General features: G+C 40.6%; 1 protein-coding gene and 1 long non-coding RNA gene across 5 annotated transcripts in view, besides 2 other annotated features; one reads left to right on the forward strand and one right to left on the reverse strand.

The window, feature by feature from the left end:
* EVA1A (eva-1 homolog A, regulator of programmed cell death) overlaps positions 1-22,835 on the reverse strand; it is a 77,402-nt gene that overhangs the window by 30,392 nt on the left and 24,175 nt on the right. For 2 of the 4 annotated variants that reach the window (NM_001369524.1, NM_001369525.1), the window contains one exon: positions 3,403-3,490. The exons of the other annotated variants lie outside the window; for them this stretch is intronic. The gene's annotated coding sequence lies outside the window, so the exon portion shown is untranslated. The remainder of the gene's footprint in view (positions 1-3,402; positions 3,491-22,835) is intronic. 4 annotated transcript variants of the gene reach the window in all.
* Positions 363-1,562: an enhancer, noted in NCBI's record as "CDK7 strongly-dependent group 2 enhancer chr2:75750198-75751397 (GRCh37/hg19 assembly coordinates)". NCBI's record gives its function as "activates an origin of replication core promoter dependent on BRD2, BRD4, P300/CBP, MED14 and CDK7 cofactors, with strong dependence on CDK7, by STARR-seq in HCT116 cells {active_cell/tissue: HCT116}" and the evidence as "EXISTENCE:reporter gene assay evidence [ECO:0000049][PMID:35650434]".
* On the forward strand, positions 1,359-19,997 carry EVA1A-AS (EVA1A antisense RNA). The gene is made up of 3 exons (NR_110281.1): positions 1,359-1,442; positions 18,030-18,161; positions 19,029-19,997. It is a non-coding gene; the product is annotated as an EVA1A antisense RNA (long non-coding RNA).
* Positions 5,780-6,305: an enhancer, noted in NCBI's record as "NANOG-H3K27ac-H3K4me1 hESC enhancer chr2:75755615-75756140 (GRCh37/hg19 assembly coordinates)". NCBI's record gives its function as "activates a minimal SCP1, AML or CMV promoter by ChIP-STARR-seq in primed H9 embryonic stem cells {active_cell/tissue: H9 hESC(primed)}" and the evidence as "EXISTENCE:reporter gene assay evidence [ECO:0000049][PMID:30033119]".

Below are 22,835 nucleotides of genomic sequence, written 5' to 3' on the forward strand. Positions count from 1 at the left end.
CAGAAAGGATGCAAGAGGTAAAAGATCAAAGAAACATGCTTCCTCTCTGCTCCTGTCAGCCAAAATCCACAAAACAGCTAGTGTGGGATGTCCCAATCTGGCCCCTCATCAGTGAAGTTTGCAGGCCAGCCTCTCTGGAACAGGAAGGGAGGGAATTCTGTTTCCTTCTAGCAATGCCCAGATGGGCCATGAAATGAAGTCTCACACAGCTCTGTAGGAACTAGAATCCTGGAAATGCTGATATGTAGATTCCGACACCCTATGCCTTCCTTGCTAAAGTGTCAAGGCCTCTGCTAGGCCCAGGTAGGAAATCTCCTCTCTGTGTCTAGCTTCACTTAGAAGCTTGCAGGAAGAATGAAATCAGTCATGGAGCTCTGAGCATTGAGCTGTCCCCACTTCACGTGTGCACACTCATTCATTCGTCATCATCACACCCTTCCAACTACTGTGGCTTCCGACTTCTGCTTATTGATTACTTTATAGAGACACATCTCAGCTATTTCTTCCCCAAAATGGATTGGTGTCACTATCCTACGTTAATTTTACAGGTCAAGAAAATAAGGGCAAGAAAGAAAAGGAAACTGGAAGCATGGGATGGGTAACTGTCTACAGACTCATGTACCAAAGTGCAGAAGTAGGTCTTTGAGGCCCATTGACCTTCCACTCTACACTGGTGAAAACTATCAGGCACTGACCCTAGGACAGTCACAGGGAGTCTGAAGAGCAAAAGCTCAAATGGAAAAACAGTCCTTATATCACCGGCTGGGGAGAGGATACACATGGCCCCAGAGAAATAACTGAGCTGAGAGAAACCCCGATTTTCTTTGTAGCACTGATAAGCACCTGGGGATGATACATCTAACATGCCAGCCTGCCAGCCACTTGGCTTCCACTGCCCCATCAACCTTCCCCTCCCAACCATCACAGTGAATCATTTCCAGAGATGTATCCTGGACCTTGTCATCACCTGGAAAGGTTTTACCTCTGAATACTGGGTTGTGAACTCCGTAAGGGCAGGGACCATGCCTTAATTCTTATCTTTGTTCTCAGAGTTTCCCACAATAAGTGCATAGAGCTAATGCTCAGGGACTGTTTGCTGGATGAATGACTCACACTGAGAAATCTCACTCTCCAATCGGAACCTCTATCTTACCTCTCTGATGTGGTTTGGCTGTGTCCCCACTGAAATCTCATCTTGTAATATAGTTCCTATAATCCCCAACTGTTGTAGGAGGGACCCAGCTGGGGGGTAATTGAATCATGGGGCAGTTACCCCCATGCTTCTGTTCTCCTAATAGTGGGTGAGTTCTCATGAGATCTGATGGTTTTATAAGGGGCATTTCCCCCTTTTGCTCAGTACTTCTTGATGCTGCCACGTGAAGAAGGACATGTTTGCTTCCCCTTCCACCATGATCCTAAGGCCTCCCCAGCCATACAGAACTGTGAGTCAATTAAACCTCTTTCCTTTATAAATTACCCAGTCACGGGTATATCTTTATTAGCAGCTAGAATCTGCTTTATTAGCTGAGTATATCTTTATTAGCTGAGAATACTGCTATGCACTCTCCATACCTGAATCAAAGTAAACGTGCTCCCCAAGCTCTCTGAGGCTTCTATCTTCTCATCCCCTCCCTGCTCACTCAGTTTATCACTGTCATCCTAGATTCATCTTTTCTCTGCACAGCCTGGCTACTACAACTACACTACATGCTGCTCTCACCAGGACCCTTCTGCTGCCCTCTCCTCAACCTCACGCCTAACTCCCAAAGCACTCCAACCCTCACCTGCTTGCTCTCCTCCCTACAGGCTAGTGCTTCTGAAAAAATATAATCATTCATATTTGCAGCATTGCAAATGCTGAGTTTACAAAATCAATGGAGGCCCCCAGTGCTGCTAGGAAAGCTTACATGTATGTCCCTGACATCTTACTTTCTCACTTTCTCATTCTTCAATCTTCTCATTCCATCTTCTCAGCTTTCCAGAGAAATAGAGGGCACCCTACATGAACTCTAACTTTCCTCCCTTCCATCTCATTCTGACCTTCCTTCCTTCTGTCTCTAAGGAATTTTCACCTGTGCTTTCAAATTATTTCCTCCTTCTTCCTACAGGACATGGTTCCATTAATGAATGATTCTTCTTTGACTTTCCCTTTTCTGGCTGATCTCCATCTCTCTATATAAATAGGTAGGCAGATAGATGGATTGATAGATAGACAGGTAGGTAGATAAATAGATAATATGTATATAGAGTGATTACATATATATGTATAATTCTCTTTCTCAAAATTTTAGTCTTTCATTTTCTCCTCACCTTCTTGCCCCATATACAAAATGCATATATATAAACACACATACATATATACATTCTATACTTATATACATACATATATAAATATACAATGTATATATGTATGTATGCACGCATGTATATATGTATGTGTACATGAATATCTATTGTTCTTTCTCAAATATTTGCTTATTCTTTCCAAATCACTATCTCAATCTCTCTATCTTTTGATCTACTGCCCTTATCTCCTTTTATCTACTATAAACTTACCTAATTTCCCCCACCTTTAAGCAATCTTCCCTTTGCTCAACCTCCACTGTGGTTTCTTATCACCCATTCTACTTCCCTTCACAGCCATACATCTTCATAGGAACTTATATTTCCTCTTTCCATTTCTTCCATCAGTCCCTCCTTGGCCTAAAATATCTGGCTTCCTATCCAGCCTGTCTACCAAAGCATTGTTGGTAAGGTGGCCATAGTGAAACAATCAGCTTTGTGCTTCTAACGATTGCTCCAGCATGGAGACTATGAGCTCCTGGCTGTTGAGGGGGCTCTTGTGTTCCATCCTTCTGCATTTGTGGTAGCTAACACAGTTCCTGGCACATAAGTGCTTTAAAACAAATTCTGTCTCAATGATGGGAGTCAAGGTGTGTGAGGCTAAGATTGTCAGACATGGGCCTTAAAACAGAATGAACAATGTCCTCAATGACACTGATATAACTCCTGAGACCTCAAGAAAAATCTTTGTCTTGATTTGAACATAAAAGGACCAGGGTTAAGAAATGATATGGTCCTAGTCAAGACTTACGTGGTGGTGGCCACAGACCACAGGAATACCAATGCTGTTACAGCAGGGCTCTAACACAGAGCCTGAAGCCTTCACTTAGCACTATGCAGAGGTCAGTACCAAGGGTGGTTCACAAAAAGTTTCTAACTTTAACACACTGTGATGCTGTTTAGCCTGGAGGCTGCCTACCTTCCTATCCCAAGGCAGAGCTTGCTTGTCTTAAATCAATAAATATTTATTAAGCCCCACCAGAACCGTTTATTTAGCAAGCAATCTGCAGCTACTAAGGAATTGAGAATTCTCTGAAGGAAGATCCACATCTTACTCACCTCTGTGCCCAATGATTGACTCATAGTGCTTCCTTTGAATGAATAATCCAGAAATGAGCAAATGTGGTCAGCGATCTACCTACCTGCACTGCAAACAGAATCAAATGTAAATGCGATGTAAATTAAGTGGACAGTTGGGAAAAGAATAATTAATTTCAATAATAAGGTAGCAATGCAGAGGACCCATAAAGACTTCATAGAGAGGTAACATTCAAATTGAATGTTGAGCAACTGCATATTAATTTAACTACTGAGTATTAATTTAATAAGGAATTATACTAATAGTCCACATTTTTTGAGACCTTTCTCTTCAACCAGATAATTTGCTAAGTGCTACTTAATTTAAGTTTCATAACAGTCCCATGAGGTAGATGCTATTATCCTTGTTTTTCAGATGGGAAAACTGAGCTATGGAGAGGTAAAGTTGCCTAAGATCACCTAGCTAGAAAATGGTAAAGTTGGAATTTAAACTTAGTCAGTCCAACTCCAGTGCTCTTAACTTTGAAACTATACTTTGCTAGAGTAAAGAAAAGCACTGGAGACAGAAGGAAGAGCAGGAGCTAAAGTACACGACACATCTTTAGCACAGGAGCAAAGGGATAGGCAGAGAAATTGAACAGAAGTCAAAGCTGCAAAGGCAAAGATGGAATTGCATTTTGGTGGATCTGCAGTGCCTTACAGAGGTTGAGCTTTATTTTATGGACAGTAAATAATATTAACAGGAGAGTGACATGGTCAGTTCTGCCTTGTAGGAAGAAAACACTGGCAGAAGTGTGCAGGATGTGTTGGAGAAGCCAGAGATGGTCTGAAAGACTTGTTGGGGGTTCAACTCAGTAGTCCAGGTAAAGGATAATGCACACTAAGAACCAAGGAGATGAGGTAGCTGAAGAAGCCAGCAATCCAGAAACCCAACACAACTGGTGCAGACAAACAGACTCCCAACAAATGCCTGCTCTCTCTAGCCAGAGGACCAGGAAAGGAGTGTTCTAGCAAGACAGAAAACTCTTAGACAATAGCCACTCTACTTTAGCCAAACATCATTTTAAAAAACAAAAAACCCATGGCCTCATCCACACCCACACCCACACCAGCAAAGCCTGGGTAGATAGCCTAGACTTTCACCCTTAAGAGACCATAGCAAGAAACTCCAACACCCTTGCCAGAGTGATGTCAGAGAAGGCACAAGGGGAGAGATGAGACTTTCATCTGAGATTGCTAGTAATGAGCTACCTTCCCTGGCAATATCAGTAAGGACTACATGGGAAGCCTGGACATCCGCCCCCTCCTAGAAATAACTAGATCCTCCTCCCCCTCCCCCTCTCCACTGGGGTGTCAGAGGCAGCCTAGTCAGGACTCTCATCACTACCAGTGGTTACGAGCCCCACATCTGTGGAGACCACATGGGATCCAGAACTCCCATCCCCATCCAGCAGTAAGGAGGAGTCAATCAATTGATGTGAACCCTAAGATGATAGGGATAATAGAATTATCTGGCAAAGATTTTTAAACACCATGATTTTAAAAATACTTCAACAAGCAATTATGCACATGCTTAAAACAAATAAAGAAATTAAAAGCCTCAGCAAAGAAATAAAAAGTCTCTGCAAATAAAGAGAAGATATAAGGAAAAAATAGAATTTTATGATTAAAAAAATACAATAATGAGGAGTGTTTGGAGACTCACATTGTGAAATTTTGCTCCAAGAACCACCACAGGAACATACCAGGGCAACTGAAAGAATTCACAAACCCTTTGAAAGCAGTGGCTTGCCACTGCAAACTCCAAGAAACAGCCAAAAACACAGTCAGTGCCCGAAGTGAGGGGAGGAAAGTCTGCCTCTGAACATACATCCTCACTGGGGAACCTGGAAATCTAGATCATGGAAGAAGGATTTAACTTTACCTAGAGCTGAAATGAATTTAGAGAGCTGAGCAAAATATAAAAGTAGAAGAAGCAGTGGGAAGTGCCCTGTAGGCACTCCTGATCCCCAGGGAAGCCCAGCGAAGCCATTTCTCACTTTATCTCACAGGGTTCCTAGGGGATGGCAGCCAGTGGAATTGGGGAAGGGCCACGGGGAGAAAGAGACTTGCAGCTGAACTTTGTAATAATTTTGATCAAGTATGAATTTTCCTCAGATTCCTAGGCAGAATCTGAGGGGTGGAGGCGAATAGGAGGTGCAGATGAGCACAGAAGCTGTGGCAGTCAGGGAGGGGTGAGGCCTGAAAGCCCTGCTTGCTTTCTCAGCAGGGAGGCTTGTAGCCTGGGGCAAGATCTCAGCCCTGTGCACCAGAGGCCTGTAAATAAATTCAGCTCTGTTGGCTGTTGGCAGGAGTGAGACTGGCCTTGCTGGCTGTGTGGGAGCTGGGTGAGGTCTGTCACTGCCGGCTTTCCCCGACTTCCCTGGCAATCTGTATGAAACATCAGAAGCAGCCATAATCCCCTTTGGAACATAACTCCATTGGCCTGAGAACCACTGCCCCGTCCCCCCAGGTGGTCTCTGCAGGCACCACCCAAGAAGAGTCTGAGCTCAGACACACCTAGCCCTACTCCCACCTGATGGTCTTTTTCTACCCACCTTGGTAGCTGAAGACAAAAGACATAAACTTGCAGGAGCTCTATAGCACCCCCCATTGCCTGAGAAACCCGAAGTTATCCAGGTGACCTTAGGGCAAGCTTGCATCCCCCAATATAACCACAGCTGATGCTCTCTTGAAAGCTCCTGGCTGGAGGGCAACCAACTCAAGCCATTACAGTAACTCATGACAGAACAACCCTGCTCCAAGAAAGGAGAAAACAACAGCTAATTTCACTATCTGTAACATCCTGGCTAACCAGAGGTCCTGAATCTGTCTGTGTGACAACTTCACTATAAGCATAACCAGCACTTAAGAAAACCAATGCACTAAACAAAACTACAACCAAGGACTCTCACAGAATCCACTTCACTCTACTGCTGCCTCTACCAGAACAGGTGCTGGTATCCATGGCTGAGAGACCTGAAGATAGATCGCATCAAAGGACTATTTGCAGACACTCCCCAGTACCAGCCTGGAGCACGGTAGTTCAGCAAACCCTAACCCTAACACTAACCTTAAATATATATGTACCCAACACTGGAGATCCCAAATTTATAAGACAATTACCACCTGACCTAAGAAATGAGATAGACAGCAACACAATAATAGTGGGGAACTTTAATACCCCACTGACAGCACTAGACAGGTCATCAAGACAGAATGTCAACAAAGAAACAATGTGCTTAAACTATACCCTAGAACAAAGGAACTTAACAGATATTTACAGAATATTCTGCCCAACAACAACAGAATATACATTCTATTCATCAGCACACAGAACATTATTCAAGATAGACCATATGATAGACCACAAAACAAGTCTCAATTAATTTAAGAAAATCAAAATTATATTGACTACTCTCTCAGACCACAGTGGAATAAAATTGTAAATCAACTCCAAAAGGAACCCTCAAAACCATGCAAATATATGGAAATTAAGTAATCAGCTCCTGAATGATCTTTGGGTCAACGATGAAATAAAGATGGAAATTTAAAAATTGTCTGAACTGAATAATAATGAAACAATCTATCACAACCCCTGGATACAGCAAAAGTGGTGCTAAGAGGAAATTTCACAGCATTAAATGCCTAAATCAAAAAATCTGAAAGAGCTCAAATAGACAATCTAAGGTCACACCTTAAGGAACTAGAGAAACAAGAACAAACCAAACCCAAAACATAGGAGATGAAAAGAAGTAACAAGGATCGCAACAGAACTAAATGAAATTGAAATAAACAAAAAACAATACAAAAGATAAATGAAACAAAAAGCTGATTATCTGAAAAGATAAACAAAATTGTTAGACCATTCATGAGATTAACCAAGAAAAGAAGAGAGACGATCCAAATAAATTCAGTTGGAAAAGAAACAGGAGATATTACAACCGATACAATAGAAATACAAAGGATCATTCAAGGCTACTATGAACACCTTTATGCGCACAGACTAGAAAATCTAGAGGGGATGAATAAATTCCTGGAAATACACAGCCCTCTCTGGATTAAACCAGGAAGAAACAGTAACTCTGAATAGATCAATAACAAGTAGCAAGATTGAAACAATAACAAAAAAGTTGCCAATAAAAAAAAAAATCCAGGACCAGATGGATTGGCAGCTGAATTCTATCAGGCATTCAAAGAAGAATTGGTACCAATATTGCTAAAACTATTCCAAAAGATAGAGAAAGAGAGAATCCTTTTGAAATCATTCTATGAAGCCAGTATCAGCCTAATACCAAAACCAGGAAAAGGCGTAACAAAATAGAAAACTACAGACCAATATGCCTGATGAACATAGATGCAAAAACCCTCAACAAAATACTAGCTAACTGAATCCAACAGTATATCAAAAAAAATAGTCCACCATGATCAAGTGGGTTTTATGCCAGGGATACAGGGATGGTTTAACATACACAAGTCAATAAATGTGATACACCACATAAACAGAATTAAAAACAGAAATTATATGATCATCTCAATAGATGCAGAAAAAAAATTTGACAAAATCTAGCATCTCTTTACGATTAAAACCCTCAGCAAAATCAGCATGGTAGGGACATACCTTAAGGTAATAAAAGCCATCTATGACAAACTCACAGCCAACATTATACTGAATGTGGAAAAGTTGAAAGCATTCCCCCTGAGAACTGAAACAAGACAAAAATGCCCACTTTCACCACTTCAATTAAACATAGTACTGGAAGTCCTAGCCAGAGCAATCAGAAACAGAAAGAAATAAAGGTCATTCAAATTGGTAAAGAGGAAGTCAAATGGTCACTGTTTGATGATGATGTTATCATATACCTGGAAAACCCTCAAGACTCATCAAAAAGCTCCTAGAACTGATAAATGAATTCAGTAAGGTTTCAGGATACAAAATCAATGTATACAAATCAATAGCACTGCTATACACCAACAGTGACTAAGCTGAGAATCAAATCAAGAACTCAGTCACCTTTACAATAGCTGCAAAAACAAAAATAAAGTATTTAGGAATATACATAACCAAGGAGTACTCACCTTACTCCTGCAAGAATAGCCATAATTTAAAAATCAAAAACTAATAGATGTTGGCATGGATGTGGTGAAAAGAGAACATTTTTACACTGCTGGTGGGAATGTAAACCAGTACGACCACTATACGACAGTACAGAGATTCCTTAAAGAACGAAAAGCAGATCTGCCATTTGATCCAGCAACCTCACTACTGAGCATCTACCCAGAGGAAAATGTCATTAAATGGAAAAGACACTTGCACATGAATGTTTGTAGCAGCACAATTGGTAACTGCAAAAATATGGGACCAGCTCAAATGCCCATCAATGAGTGGATAAATAATATGTAGTTATATATATATATAATATTCTATATATGATGGAATACTACTCAGCCATAAAAAGGAAAGAAATAATGGCATTCTTAGCAACCTGGATGGAGTTGGAGACCATTATTCTAAGTGAAGTAACTCAGGAATAGAAAACCATACATTGTATGTTCTCACCTTTAAGTGGGAGCTAAGCTATGAGGACGCAAAGGCATAAGAATAATACAGTGCAGTTTGGGGACTTCGGGGAAGGCTGGGAGGAGGGTAAGGGGTAAAAGACTATACATTGGGTACAGTATACACTGCTTGGGTGATACTTGCACCAAAATCTCAGAAATCACCATTAAAGAACTTATCCACGTAATGGCTGAGCGCGGTGGCTCACGCCTGTAATCCCAGCACTTTGGGAGGCCAAGGCGGGCAGATCACGAGGTCACAAGATCGCGACCATCCTGGCTAACACGGTGAAACCCCGTCTCTACTAAAAATACAAAAAAATTAGCCGGGTGTGGTGGCGGGTGCCTGTGGTCCCACCTACTCGGGAGGCTGAGGCAGGAGAATGGCATGAACCCAGGAGGCAGAGCTTGCAGTGAGCCGAGATCAGGCCATTGCACTCCAGCCTGGGTGACAGAGTGAGACTCTGTCTCAAAAAAAAAAAAAAAAAAAAAAAAAAAAAGCTTATCCATGTAATTAAACAGCAACTGTTCCCCAAAAACGATTGAAATAAAAAACATTTTAAAATAAAGAAAGGACAGGACACTTGGCGTATGAAAAGAACTAAAGGAATAAAGGAATTGAATAAGGAAATACTTGTAACACAGCCAGTGTTTATGTGAGTGAAACTTGGTATTGTAGGTCTGGTAATTAAAAGAAAAGGTTATGTTTATTTTTATTAACAACAATAATAAAAGCCAACGTTTATTAAGTACATTCCACACAGTAAAAAAATACAATAACCAAAATAAAAAGCTCAAAATAAACAGATGGGCTTGATAGTAAATGGAGGAGGCAGATGAAACAATGAGTGATCTGAAAGACAGAATGATAGAAATTACTTAGTTGAACTACAGAGGAAAAATAGACTGGAAAAAAAATGAACAGAATCTTAGGGACCTGTGAGATTATTACAAAAGACCTAACATTTGTGTCACTGGAGCTCCAGAATGAAAGAGGAAGAAGAGGAACTGAGAAAGTAATCAAAGAAATAATGGCTTTAAAAAATCCAAATTTGTCAAGAAACGTGAACTTACAGATTCAAGAAGCTGAGCAAATCTCAAATGGAATAAAGCCAAAGAAATCCATGTGAAGACACACTGTAATTAAACTTTTGAAAACTAAAGACTAAATAGGCTGAGTGTGGTGGCTCAAGCCTGTAATCCCAGCACTTTGGGAAGCCGAGGTGGGCAGGTTACTTGAGCTCAGGTGTTTGAGACCAGCCTAGGTAATATGGCAAAACCCCATCTTTACTAAAAATACAAAAATTAGCTGGGTATGGTGGCATGCACCTGTGGGTCCCAGCTACTCAGGAGGCTGAGGTGAGAGGATCACTTGAGCCTAGGAGATCGAGACTGCAGTGAACCAAGATTGCCCCACTGCACTGCACTCCAGCCTGAGTGACAGAGTGAGACCCTGTCTTTAAAAAAAAAAAAAGAAAAAAGAAAGAAGAAAAAAGAAAGAAAAAAAAACCAAAGACAAAAACATTGAAAGCTGCCTGAGAAAAACGGCGTCCTAGCTATAGGGAAAAAACAATTCAGAACACAGAGGATGTTTCATTGGAAACCATGGAAGTCAAAAGGCAGTAAGTAGCACAATGTATGTTTCAGCGGCTGAAAGAAATGAACTGTGAATCCAGAATCCATACCCAGCAAAACTGCCCTTCAAGATGTAGGGGAAACCAGGCATTCTCCAATGAAGGAAAACTAAGAGAAATTGTCACCAGCAGACCTACCCAAAAAGAATTACTAAAGTCCTCTAAAAAGAAAGAAAAGAATTTTAAAAAGATATCATGAGATATCAAGAAAGAAGAAAGCACAAATATAGGTAAATACAATAGGCTTTCCTTTTCCTCATGAGTTTTCGTATTTAACAGTTGAAGCAAAAATGTTAACACTTTCTGATGTGGTTCTGAATGTATATAAAGGAAGCCAGGTGCAGTTGCTCACACCTGTAATCCCAGCGATTTGGGAGGTGGAGGCAGGAGGGTCACTTGAGACCAGGAGTTTTGACCAGCCTGGGCAACATGGTGAGACCCCAATCTCTAAAAAATAATAATTATTATTTTATTTTATTTTATTATTTATTTATTTATTTATTTTTGAGACCGGAGTCTTGCTCTGTTGCCCAGGCTGGAGTGCAGTGGCGCGATCTTGGCTCACTGCAAGCTCCGCCTCCCAGGTTCACGCCATTCTCCTGCCTCAGCCTCCCGAGTAGCTGGGACTACAGGCGCCCGCCACCACGCCCGGCTAATTTTTTTGTATTTTTAGTAGAGACGGGGTTTCACTGTGTTAGCCAGGATGGTCTCGATCTCCTGACTTCGTGATCCTCCCACCTCAGCCTCCCAATAATTTAAAAAAGCACTTAGCAGGGCATGGTGGCAAATGCCTATAGTTTCAGCTACTCAGGATGTTGAGACAGTAAGATTGCTTAAGTCCAGGAATTCAAGCCTGCAGTGAGCTATGATTGTGCCACGGTACTCCAGCTTGGGCAACAGAGAGAGACTTTGTCTCAAAAATAAAATAAAATTAAGTTAAAATGAAAAATTAATGTATGTAAAGGAAATATTTAAGACCCACTTTGGAGTAGGGCAAAGGGAAGCAAAGCATGGTAAGGTTTTTATATTTCACTCAAACTGGTGAAATGGCACCAGCAGATGGTAAATATATATATGTAGTAACACCTGGAGCAACCACTAGAAAAACTATATGAAGAAATACACTTAAAAACACTACGAACAAATCAAAATGGAATTCTAAAACAATGTTCAAGTAACTAAAAAAAGAAAACAGAGGAACAAACAAACAAAAAGCAGAAGACAAAAGACAAAATGGCAAACATCAGCCCTAACATCTCAGTAATGACATTAAGTGTAAATAATCTAAATACACCAATTAAAGATAGCTATTGGCAAAGTGGATTTTAAAAATGACCCTTTGTTGGATGCATAGTTTGCAAATATTTTCTCTCATTCTGTAGGTTGTTTGTTACTCTGTTAATATTTCTTTTTTTCTGCAGAAGCCTTTTAGTTTAATTGGATTCCATTTATTTCTTTTGTTTCTGTTGCTTTTGGGGTCTTAGTCACAAATTCTTTGCCTCGGTCAATGTCTAAAATAGTTTTCCTAGGTTTTCTTCTAGAATTCTTATGGTTTCAGATATTATATTTAAGTCTTTAATCCATCTTGACTTAATTTTTGTACATGGTGAGAGATAGGGATCCAGTTTAATTCTTCTACATGTGACTATCCAATTTTCCCAGCACCATCCACTAAATAGGGTATCCTTTCCCTAGTTTATGTTTTTGTGTGCCTTGTCAAAGATCAGTCCAGAATCTCCAAGGAAGTCAAACAAATCAGCAAGAAAAAAAAATCCCATTAAAAAGTGGGCAAATGATATAAATAGAAATTTCTCAAAAGAGGATATACAAATGGCCAACAAATATATGAAAAAATGCTCAACATCACTTATCATCAGGGAAATGCAAATTAAACTCACAATGAGATATCACTTATCCTTACTGGAATGGCCATTATTAAAAAGTCAAAAAGCAATAGATGGCATAGATATGGCAAAAAAAAAAAAAAAAAGGGAACTCTTGTTTATACACTGCTGATGGGAAGGTAAATTAGAACAACCTCTATGGAAAACCATATAGAGATTTCTCAAATAACTAAACGTAGATCTACCATTTGATGAAGCAATCCCACTACTGGGTATCTACCCAAAGGAAAAGAGATGATTATATAAAAAGACACTTGCACACATATGTTTACTGCAGCACAATTCACAATTGCAAGATATGGAATCAACTTAAGTAACCTCAGCCAATGAATAAAGAAAATGTGATGTGTATGTAATTCATTCATCAGTTGAATGCCATAAAAAGAATAACATAATGTCTTTTGCAGCAACTTGGATAGAACTGGAGGCCATTATCCTAAGTGAAATAACTCAAGAATGGAAAACCAAATACCATGTGTTCTCTTACAAGTAGGAGCTAAGCTATGGGTACACAAAGGCATACAGTGATATAATAGACATTGGAGACTCAGAATGGGGAAGGGTAGAGGGAGTGAGAGATGAAAACCTACCCATTGGGTACAACACACACTATTCAGGTGATGGGTACACTAAAGTCCTAGACTTTACCACTGTACGATTCATCCATGTAACCAAAAAATACTTGTACCTCTAAAGCTATTGAAATAAAATGTTTTTAAAAAAAACCATGTCCCAACTATACACTATAAGAAACTATAAAAGTCCTTTCTTTGATTATTTTCTCAGGCGTGGGCCACCGCACCCAGCCACTGCCAGTATTGTTATATATGAAGTTAGTTTCTTATAGTGTATAGTTGGTACATGGTTTTTTATAGCCAAGGCGGGCAGATTGCTTGAGCCCAGGAGTTAGAGACCAGCCTGGGCAACATGGCAAAACCCCGTCTCTACAAAAAATACAAAAATTAGCCAGGCATGGTGCACATCTGTAATCCCAGCTACTCAGGAGGCTGAAGGGGGAGGATGGCTTGAGCCCAGGTGGCAGAAGTTGCAATGAGCTGAGAGCACGCCACTGCACTCCAGCCTGGTGACAGAGCAAGACCCTGTCTTAAAAACAAAACAAAGCAAAAACACCTCCCCCCCAAATAAAACAAAGCACAAAAACAATATTGTCAGGTTTAAAGAAAAAGGATAAAATTTTTATATTATGCAACCATTAACCAATAGAAAACAAGTCTACATTGATATCTATTAAGTCTATAAAGTAGACTTTAGAGCAAAGAAAATTACCAGAGGGTCTTTGAAAAAAAATCTATAAAATTGGCAAACCTATAGCAAGACTGACCAAAAAAGAAAGAAGTTACAAATTACCAATATCAGAAACAAAACAGTAGATATCACTAACAGACCCTGCAGATGACAAAAAATAGTAAGGAAATACTAGGAACAACTCCTACACACATAAGTTTGACAATTCAGACAAAATGAACCAGTTCCTTGAAAAACACAAAGTACCACAACTCATCCAATATGACAGAGATAATTTGAATAGCCCTATAGCTATTAAAGAATTGAATTCGTAATTTTAACCCCCCCGCTCCAAAAAAAAACAACTTCAGGCCTAGATGGTTTCACTAGAAAATTCTATCAAATGTTTAAAGAAGAATTAGCACCACTTCTACACCATCTCTTCCAGAAAATCAGAGAAGAGGGGATACTTCCCAATTCATTTCATGAAGCTAGCATTACACGGATACCAACCCCAGACAAAGATAGTGCAAAAAAAGAAAACTCAAAGCCATCAGGAACATAGATAAAATAAAAACAATCCTTAGCACAATATTAGCAAGTAGAATTCAGGAACGTATAAAAAGGATTTTTTTTCGTAATGACTTTTTATGACATGACTACATGGGGCTTATTTCAAGAATGCAAGGCTTATTCAAAAATCAATTGATATAAACTGCCATTAGTAATAGGCTAAAGAAAAAAAGTCATGTTAATTGAGCAGAAAAATTTTTTCAAAAATTCAACACCCATTCATGATTTTTAAAAATTCTCAGAAAAATATGAATAGAGGGGAATTGCCTCAACTTGATAAAGAGCGTCTGCAAAAGACCTATAGCTAACATTATACTTCATCATGAAATACTCAATGTTTACTCTTTAAGATCAGAAACTAGGTAAAGATGCCCACCCTCCCCACTCTTAAATCAACACAACACTGTAAGTTCTAACCATTACCTTGAGGCAAGAAAAGGTACTAAAAGACACACAGATGAGAAAGGAAGAAATAAAACTGTCCCTATTTGCAGGTGATATGGCTGTCAATAGAGATCCCAAGGAATTTACCCAAAAAACCTCCAGGTATGCCATGGACATTGTCCTTCCAAATCTCATGTTAAAATGTGTTCTCCAATGTTGCAGGTGGGACCTGGTGGGAGGTGTTTGGGTCATGGAGATGGATCCCTCATGAATGGCTTGGTGTTGCCCTTGTGGTAATGAGTGGGTTCTCATTCTATTACTTTATGCGAGAGCTGACTGTTTAAAAGAGCCTAGCATCTCTCTTGCTCCTTCTTACCATACAACATGCCTGCTGTCCCTTAGTCTTCCGCTATGAGTAAAAGCTTCCTGAGGCCTCACCAGAAGCCAAGCAGATGCTGATGCTATGCTTGTACAGTCTGCAGAATGATGAGCCAAATAAACATCTTTTCTTTATATTACCCAGCCTCAGATGTTCCTTCTGCAAACCAGACTAATACACCTCTTAAAACTAGTGAGTTTAGCCAGGTGTGGTGGCTCACACCTGTAATCCCAGCACTTCGGGAGACTGAGGCAGGTGGATCACCTAAGGTCAGGAGTTCAAGACCAGCCTGACCAATATGGTGAAACCCTGTCTCTACTAAAAATATGAAAGTTAGCTGGGCATGGTGGCATGTGCCTGTAGTCCCAGTTTCTCGGGAGGCTGAGACAGGAGAATTGCTTGAATCCGGGAGGTGGAGGTTGCACCACTGGGAGCTGAGATTGCACCACTGCACTCCAGCCTGGGTGACAGAGCGAGACTCCATTCCCACCAACAAAAAATAAAATAAAATAAAACTAGTGAGTTCAGCACGGTTGCAGGCAACATAAACTTACAAAAATCAACTGTATTTCCATATACTAAGAGTGAACACTAAAGTTAAAAAATACAACACCATTTACTGCTGCCTAAAGAATGAAATACAGTCCTGCACCACATTAATGAAGTTTTGGTCAATGACAGCATGTTGTATAAATGAGAGCACAATATGCAACTTTTTGGGACTGGGTACATGAATATTTATAGCAGCTGTATTTGCAATAGCCCAAAACTGGAAATAATTCATACATCCTTCGAAGAGTAAATGTTTAAACCAACTGTAGTACATCTATACCATGTAATACTACTCAGCAACAAAAAAAGAACAAACTGTTGATACACAAGGCAACCTGGATGAATTCCAGAGGATTATTCTGAATTTAAAAACGCAATCCCAAAAGGCTGCATATTGTATGATTTCATTTATACAACATTCTTGAAATGACAAAATTATAGAAATAGGGAATAAATTAGTAGTTTTCAGAGGTTAAGGAAGGATTGGGGTGAGAAAGAAAGTTATTGTAGCTAAAAAACGGCAACATGAGAAATCCTTGTGATGATGCAAATGTTCTGTATCTTGACTGTATCAATGTCAACATCCCGGTTGTGATATTGTAGCACAGTTTTGCACGATGTCATCACTGGGGAAACTAGCTAAATGGAATATGGGAGCTCTGCATTATTTCTTGCAACTGCATATACATTTAAAATTATCTCCAAAAAAAGTCTAATTAAAAATACATTTTAATGCATAATCTTTAGAGTCTTCCTGAACCATAATCTGCACATTAAATCTTGAGAAATATTGATCTAAAAGTTCAACCAGGATATTAGGGGAAATATCCTCTTTCTCATGAGGAACAGCTGAAGGGATAGAAAATGTTTTATCTTGGGAAATCCTGAAGAAAACTATGAGAGTTTTCTTTTTCCAGAATATGAAGTGATTATACACAAGAAATTAAACTTGGTATGATGCCAGTAAACAGAACATGGGCTGATATACAAGAAAGTGCACAAGCTTCAGGATTAACCAAGCATAGGTTTAAACCCAAGCTCCACCATGCCCTATCTTTAAGACTAGACAAGTTAGTTAACCTCCCTGACTTCCCATTTCCTCATCTTTAAAACGAGGCTAATGATTCCCACCTCAATCCATCAATCAGCATCTAAGTAAAGAAATAGACACTGCTTCAGTATTTGCAGCAGAAGGAATTTAACGCAGGGAATTGGTGGCAGTGGTGAAGATAGAAATATAGGTTACAGCTGATAGAAAAGCTGAGATTTGAAGATTATTGCAATAGATAATGAAGTCAAGAGTACAAAGATCTTCTTAAGTTCATATAACCTTGCATACTTACTAAGGATCAGGCAAAATGGGAAAACTAAAAAATTAAAAAATTTTTAAAAATGAAAAATAAAAAAATTAAGTTTGTATGACTTTAAAAAGATAAAATTAGTTGGAGTAAGGTCTTGGGATGGGGTCATGAAGTAATCAGATATTAGCAATAGTAGGCAGTGGGTAATTGAAGGCATAAAGGTAGGAGGCAATGTTGCCAAAGCCCAGGAGCCAGAGTCACCAGGAAGAACCAGGAACCATGGAGGACACAAATAGTGGGAGCTGGAGCCATGGAGGAGATGCAGACATTGCTGGCAGGGATGATTTAAGAAGGGAGAGAGGGAAGAAATACTCTGGTTTCCTCTTTTCACTACCTTGCAACCTTCCACAGGTGCAGCAACCTTCCTCTAGAAGGAAACCATAGGTATGGAGCCTGGGGAAGGCAGCCTTCCAGGTCAGCCCCTGCTATCAAGGGCAAAGCAGGAATCAGAAGATAGACACACCTAGGTGTGGCACACTCACAGGGTGTTTGTGAGGATGCAGGGCTTGTAAGATACCTGGCACAGAGTAATAGGTGCTCAAGAAATGGCAATTATTATTTTTCAGTGCCAATGTTGCATGATGACATTTAGAGCCACATTTTCTCATCATTTCCTATCTGAATAGACGGAAGCACAAGCTGGGGCTCATTCCATGTAGACTTTGCCAAGAGTACTTATTTTTTCCAAATGAGAAGCACATCTGAGAAATGTGAAAAGCAGCCCTGTCCTAAAGTTTCATTGTATAAAGCAAATGTTGAGTTTCCACAGCTGCTGGCTTCAGCCTACCCAGAGGAATAGTTTTCCTGAAATATTAATCTCGGAAAAAGCCACACTGGGGTAAGCTTGCACAGTAATTCAAGCAGCATGTGCAAAATTTATTTTGCGTTTGGCTGGGCATGGTTTTAATTATGTGAAGTCTTCAGAATGAGAAGAAAGTGATTGAAGATGTTTAACTAAGTCAGTCATGGAGGCTGTAGATGCTCCAAGACTCTCTCCAACTTTGGTTTATTTCTGCAGTCCCCAAACTACAAACACAAAGGAAGCTCCCATGGAATCGGATGATGGCACTGTACGAATCAAGATGCAGCTAGCAATAAAAACAGAAGACACCAACACCAGCAGTCCAGAGACCTCCAGTATAACATAAAGGCAGGTGTCTATTCATGGTTCCCTACAACCAAGGTAGGGACAGAAGGGTGAGAATCCACAGGATTGTCAAAAACCTGGGACGCAGCATGCAAGATGCTTTCATCAAAGGTCCCGAGTGAGTACAAGATGCAGAGTGTGTTGTATACCTGCTGGACATCTCATACTTCCTGGGAGTCACTCGCATGGTGTGATATTGAATGTGAAGTAGGATCTGGAAGTGCAGAGAGGGCCAGGGCCCCTCCCTGAGGACAACACAGGCATGGGGATGGACTGGGCCTTGCATACAATAGAGCTGAGCCAACCTGCAGAGCTTTAAAACTGTCAACAATCGGCAACCACAAGATGTCCCCTTGGCTGATGCAACAGATAGAAAACTCAGAAGTTATCTTTAAAAACCAGTTTTCAGACTCTAGATTCTGTCCATAAGTATTAGGGCCCTAGCACCAGCCTGGAGGCAGAGGTTTCTGTCCCAAGAGGGACTATACGAGTCGGAACCTCAGAAAGGGACCACTAATTTTCAGAGACAATCAAAAGCTAGTCCTGTGAGGTAAGACACAGGAGATGGACATAGGCAGGAAGGTTCTCAAGATCAGTCCATCAGAATTGATGCCCTAATCTCTATGCCCTCATGGGGTCAGGGAGACCTGCTGAGTTATTTACTGCCTCAAGTCAGATAAGTCTGGGCATCAAGGTGGGCTGGTCCTAACTAGGAGGAGTGGAGGAGGAAGCTAGACTGTGCTGACCTGGAGTCCAGAACACTGAGGTTATTGGGGGAGGAGTCTCCACTTGCACTTCCCAGAGATCCCTCCAGCTCAACATGTTCTAAGTTCATTCCCCCAGCTTACCTGCCTCCTCTTTTCTCTACAGTGTTCATAGTATCCTGAGGATTCCAGTCACACAGGCTCAAACCTGAGGATCACCCCGGATCCTTCCTCTCCGTTGTCCGGAAAAATCCTACCTCCTATCCTTTCTAACCCTCCATCCCACTGTCACTCCTCTAATTCAGAAATTTCTCTCCTTTCTTCCCCCATGCACCCCAATCTCATATAGTGGTGTGATATGATTTGGCTCTGTGTCCCCAACCAAAGCTCATCTTGTAGTTCCCATAATCCCCATGTGTTATGGGAGGGACCTGGTGGGAGATGATTGAATCATGAGGGTGGGTCTTTCCCATGCTGTTCTCGTGATAGTGAATGGGTCTCACGAGATCTGATGGTTTTAAAAATGGGAGTTTCTCTGCACAAGCCCTCTCTTTGCCTGCTGCCATCCACGTAAGATGTGACTTGCTCCTCCTTGCCTTCTGCCATGATTGTGAGGCCTCCCCAGCCACGTGGAACTGTAAGTCCAATGAAACTCTTTCTTTCGTAAATTGCCCAGTCTCTAGTATGTCTTTATCAACAGTGTGAAAACGGACTAATACATGGTGCCAGGCTGAGCATTTGGAAACAGTGTTCTAACAATGCCACTCATCTGTTCCAAAATTGCCAAAGGATCCACACTGCCTAGAGTGAAATTCAAATGTGAGCCTGTAAATCAAAGCGCTTCATGAGTTCTTCCCAACCTACCTTTCCATCACAGCCCAACATCAGGCAAACAGAACCACTGTCTTCTCCGTTCATTTCCCACTTGGTTCTACTTCTGGGTTTTGCTCTGTTTGGCATGTGTTTTCCTGCATCACTGCATTTCCGAGTCTTACCCATCCTTCAAAGTTCATGTCACATCACCTCCTGCAAGAACATTCTCTGATCCTCTCCTGCGTGCATAATCACTCCCTCTTTTGGACTCCTGCAACCCTGTGTGCCACTCTTTCGCACTGAGTAAAAGTATGTGCATTTCATATGTTTCCATTGGGTGATAAGGTCTTTGAAAATAAGGCCCTTACAGATTCACCCTTCATGGAGAAGATGTAGGGAGACCCAAGAACTTGGAGTTTGGCTGGTTTGTAGGAAATGTAACAAAGTTTGGGGGAATAATTTTGGAAAGGTAGGTTGGAATCATATTGTGACTCCAGGGTAATAGTTAAAAGTGCTTGGGAGTCATCTGCAGACGTATGAAGCTAGATGAGGCAATCCTGAGAAAAAATATCAAATGTGAAGGGAAAGTGCCCATCCCTGGAACCACAGGGAACATTAGCCTGCAAGTATCCACTGGAAAATAAAAAATCATGGAGACTGGCAGGAAATGGCTGTATAGAATGGAAGTCAGTCACAACATCCATACCACACTGGGCATAAAAAGAATTTCAGCCCTGTTGGTCAGCCACGATACATGCGCTTGAATAATTCTGACCGAATCCTGTATGGCTTTTTTTTTCTCTAGAATTGCAAATAGGGAAGACCATGCTGACAGACTTGTGGATCCTTAATTCAGGACATTTTAAAAAGGCAATCACTTGCCCACATTCTATTCCTAATCAGTGGGGCTTCCCAAACCCAGTACACCGGAGACATCTACAAATATGTAGAACTCGCAGAAGTAACGCCTGACCAAGGAACACACGAATGGGAACAAGGAGTATTCCTGGTCATCTGATTTGTTTCTGTGTTGGCTTCCCAGTCCCAAAAGTGACTCCTAAGGTCATTACAATTATTAAAACCAGAGAACAAGCACAGGGACCCAGAGGAAGTCAGCAGGAGGTGAGTGGGTGAAAAAAAAACAAAAAAAACCTTGACCTGGAAGTCTAGAAGCCCAGAGCAGCACCCCCACCCCACCCCGCAAGGAGCTGGGGGGAGAGAAGTTCTGGGTGGGGATTGTGCCAGCCTCCCTGGGTGGGACCTGTGTGGCTTCTTGGGGAGGTGGGCGGCTTCTACCTGAGACCTTCCTAATCATTCCTCACCAGGGGGAACTAGTCCTACAACCACATAGGACCTGCCCCGTGTCAATTCAATTGAATTCAGCACAGACAAACTGCTGAGCTCCCCGGAGGTGAAAGCCCTGACCTGGGCAGATGTTTACCTGATCAAAACAGGGAGGTCCTCCCAAGCCAGCCCTGCTAAAGATCCCACCTGAGACCACAATTTTCTTACACCTTATTCTAACACAATGGAGGTCAACTTATTCATTTCAAGGGTTCTAGAAATGTTTGATTCAAATTACATTTAAAAATATTTTTAAAATGGTAAACACAGACAAGTGTGTGATACCAAATGTGAACAATCATAGACCCCAGTGGTTTACATGAGCCACAGGTTATAATATACTCATGCCCGCTTCAGAATAAAGGTTCTCCTGCCAAAACCATGAATATGTTTGAACACATGTAGATGTGTCATTAATTGGGAAAGCTGTAGTTCCAAAAAGATCTTTCAACTGTTCGGATCCATGCAAGTATTCTTATGCTGTAAAACTGTATGAGCAAGTACACTACCATCACCCTGGCCCCCTAGCGCCATGCTCAATTAAAGGCCAGGAAGGGCTCAGGGACTTCCCTGGAATGTATGCTCTTATAAAGACGTAATACTAAACTATACGGTAATATGTGACCACATAACATGCTGTACCATGGTAAGTATTACCAGTAGCATTATTATTAGTATTATTAGCATTACTAGTAGCATGCTTATTTTGATGTTAGACTGATCAAGACCAACAGTAATGCAGGGCCATTCTATTACTGCTTCTCTTGTGGCCGATAGCGTCCATGATGAAACTGACAACTGAAGTTTGAGCTCAAAATGCCAGATTAAACATGTTTTGCTGTGTTAAAGGCTTTAAGTGATTACTACAGAGAAACAAACACTGGAGTTTCTGAAAAAAAAATTAACAACATAATTAACCTCTCATGATGATACAACATAATTTTGGGAAGAATTTTCTGCCAAAGATATAAATTGGTGAATCTAAGTGAAAGAATCTGTTCCTTTCCATTAGACCTCTTATAATTAAACAATTGTTACATAGTGTTAGTGAGTCAACATTAAAACCAATTCTTCCTATATTTATCTTTCATGTTTCTAGATCATTGAAATCAGAATAGCCTGAATCTGTAAGGTATCTTGTTTAAAAGTGCTATAATTTCCAATATCTAGCTGTTGCATGTTGTACAGTCAATATAAAATACAGGGGTACACTTGATAGTGAGAATGTCATGAGGCTACAGTGTTCATCCCAAACCCTCAATTTCAAATTTTCATAACATTCTCATTGTTTTCATTAACTGTATGTTAAAAACTAAATTTATCAAGCTAATATATATAACAAAATGTTGGTTTGCTCTGTTATAGTCATTAATATTCCACATAAGATTTCATTGAAGAGTTTTAATGCTGAAAAGTTTCCAAAAATCACTGTAACATTTAATATATAGGAAAAACCCAAAATATGAAGCAGGAAAAGATGTAAGAAACAGATCTTTTTGGTTAGAAAGGCAGAAGTAGAAAAGGGTGAGAGTAATTCAACCACAACTCCAGATACAAGCTTGAGAATAAAAAAAATGCTTTTTGAATTAATCAATGAAGCAGAAATAGTGTGTCCCTTGCTCCTGGAATTGGGAGAGGGGAAACTTTGGGACTGGAGAAACAGAGAAGGCCATAGAGGAAGTTTTGCTTTCCCGATGAGAACCATCTTCCCATAGGCAAATAAGAAGGCTTCTCTGTGGGAAGCAGGGCAGACCAAAGAGATGATGGTCTTTGGGTAGCCAAGTGTAGCCACTGATCATTAGGGCCAGCGTAACTG

Source organism: Homo sapiens, chromosome 2, assembly GCF_000001405.40.
Source record: "Homo sapiens chromosome 2, GRCh38.p14 Primary Assembly".
NCBI classification, from domain to species: Eukaryota; Metazoa; Chordata; class Mammalia; order Primates; family Hominidae; genus Homo; species Homo sapiens.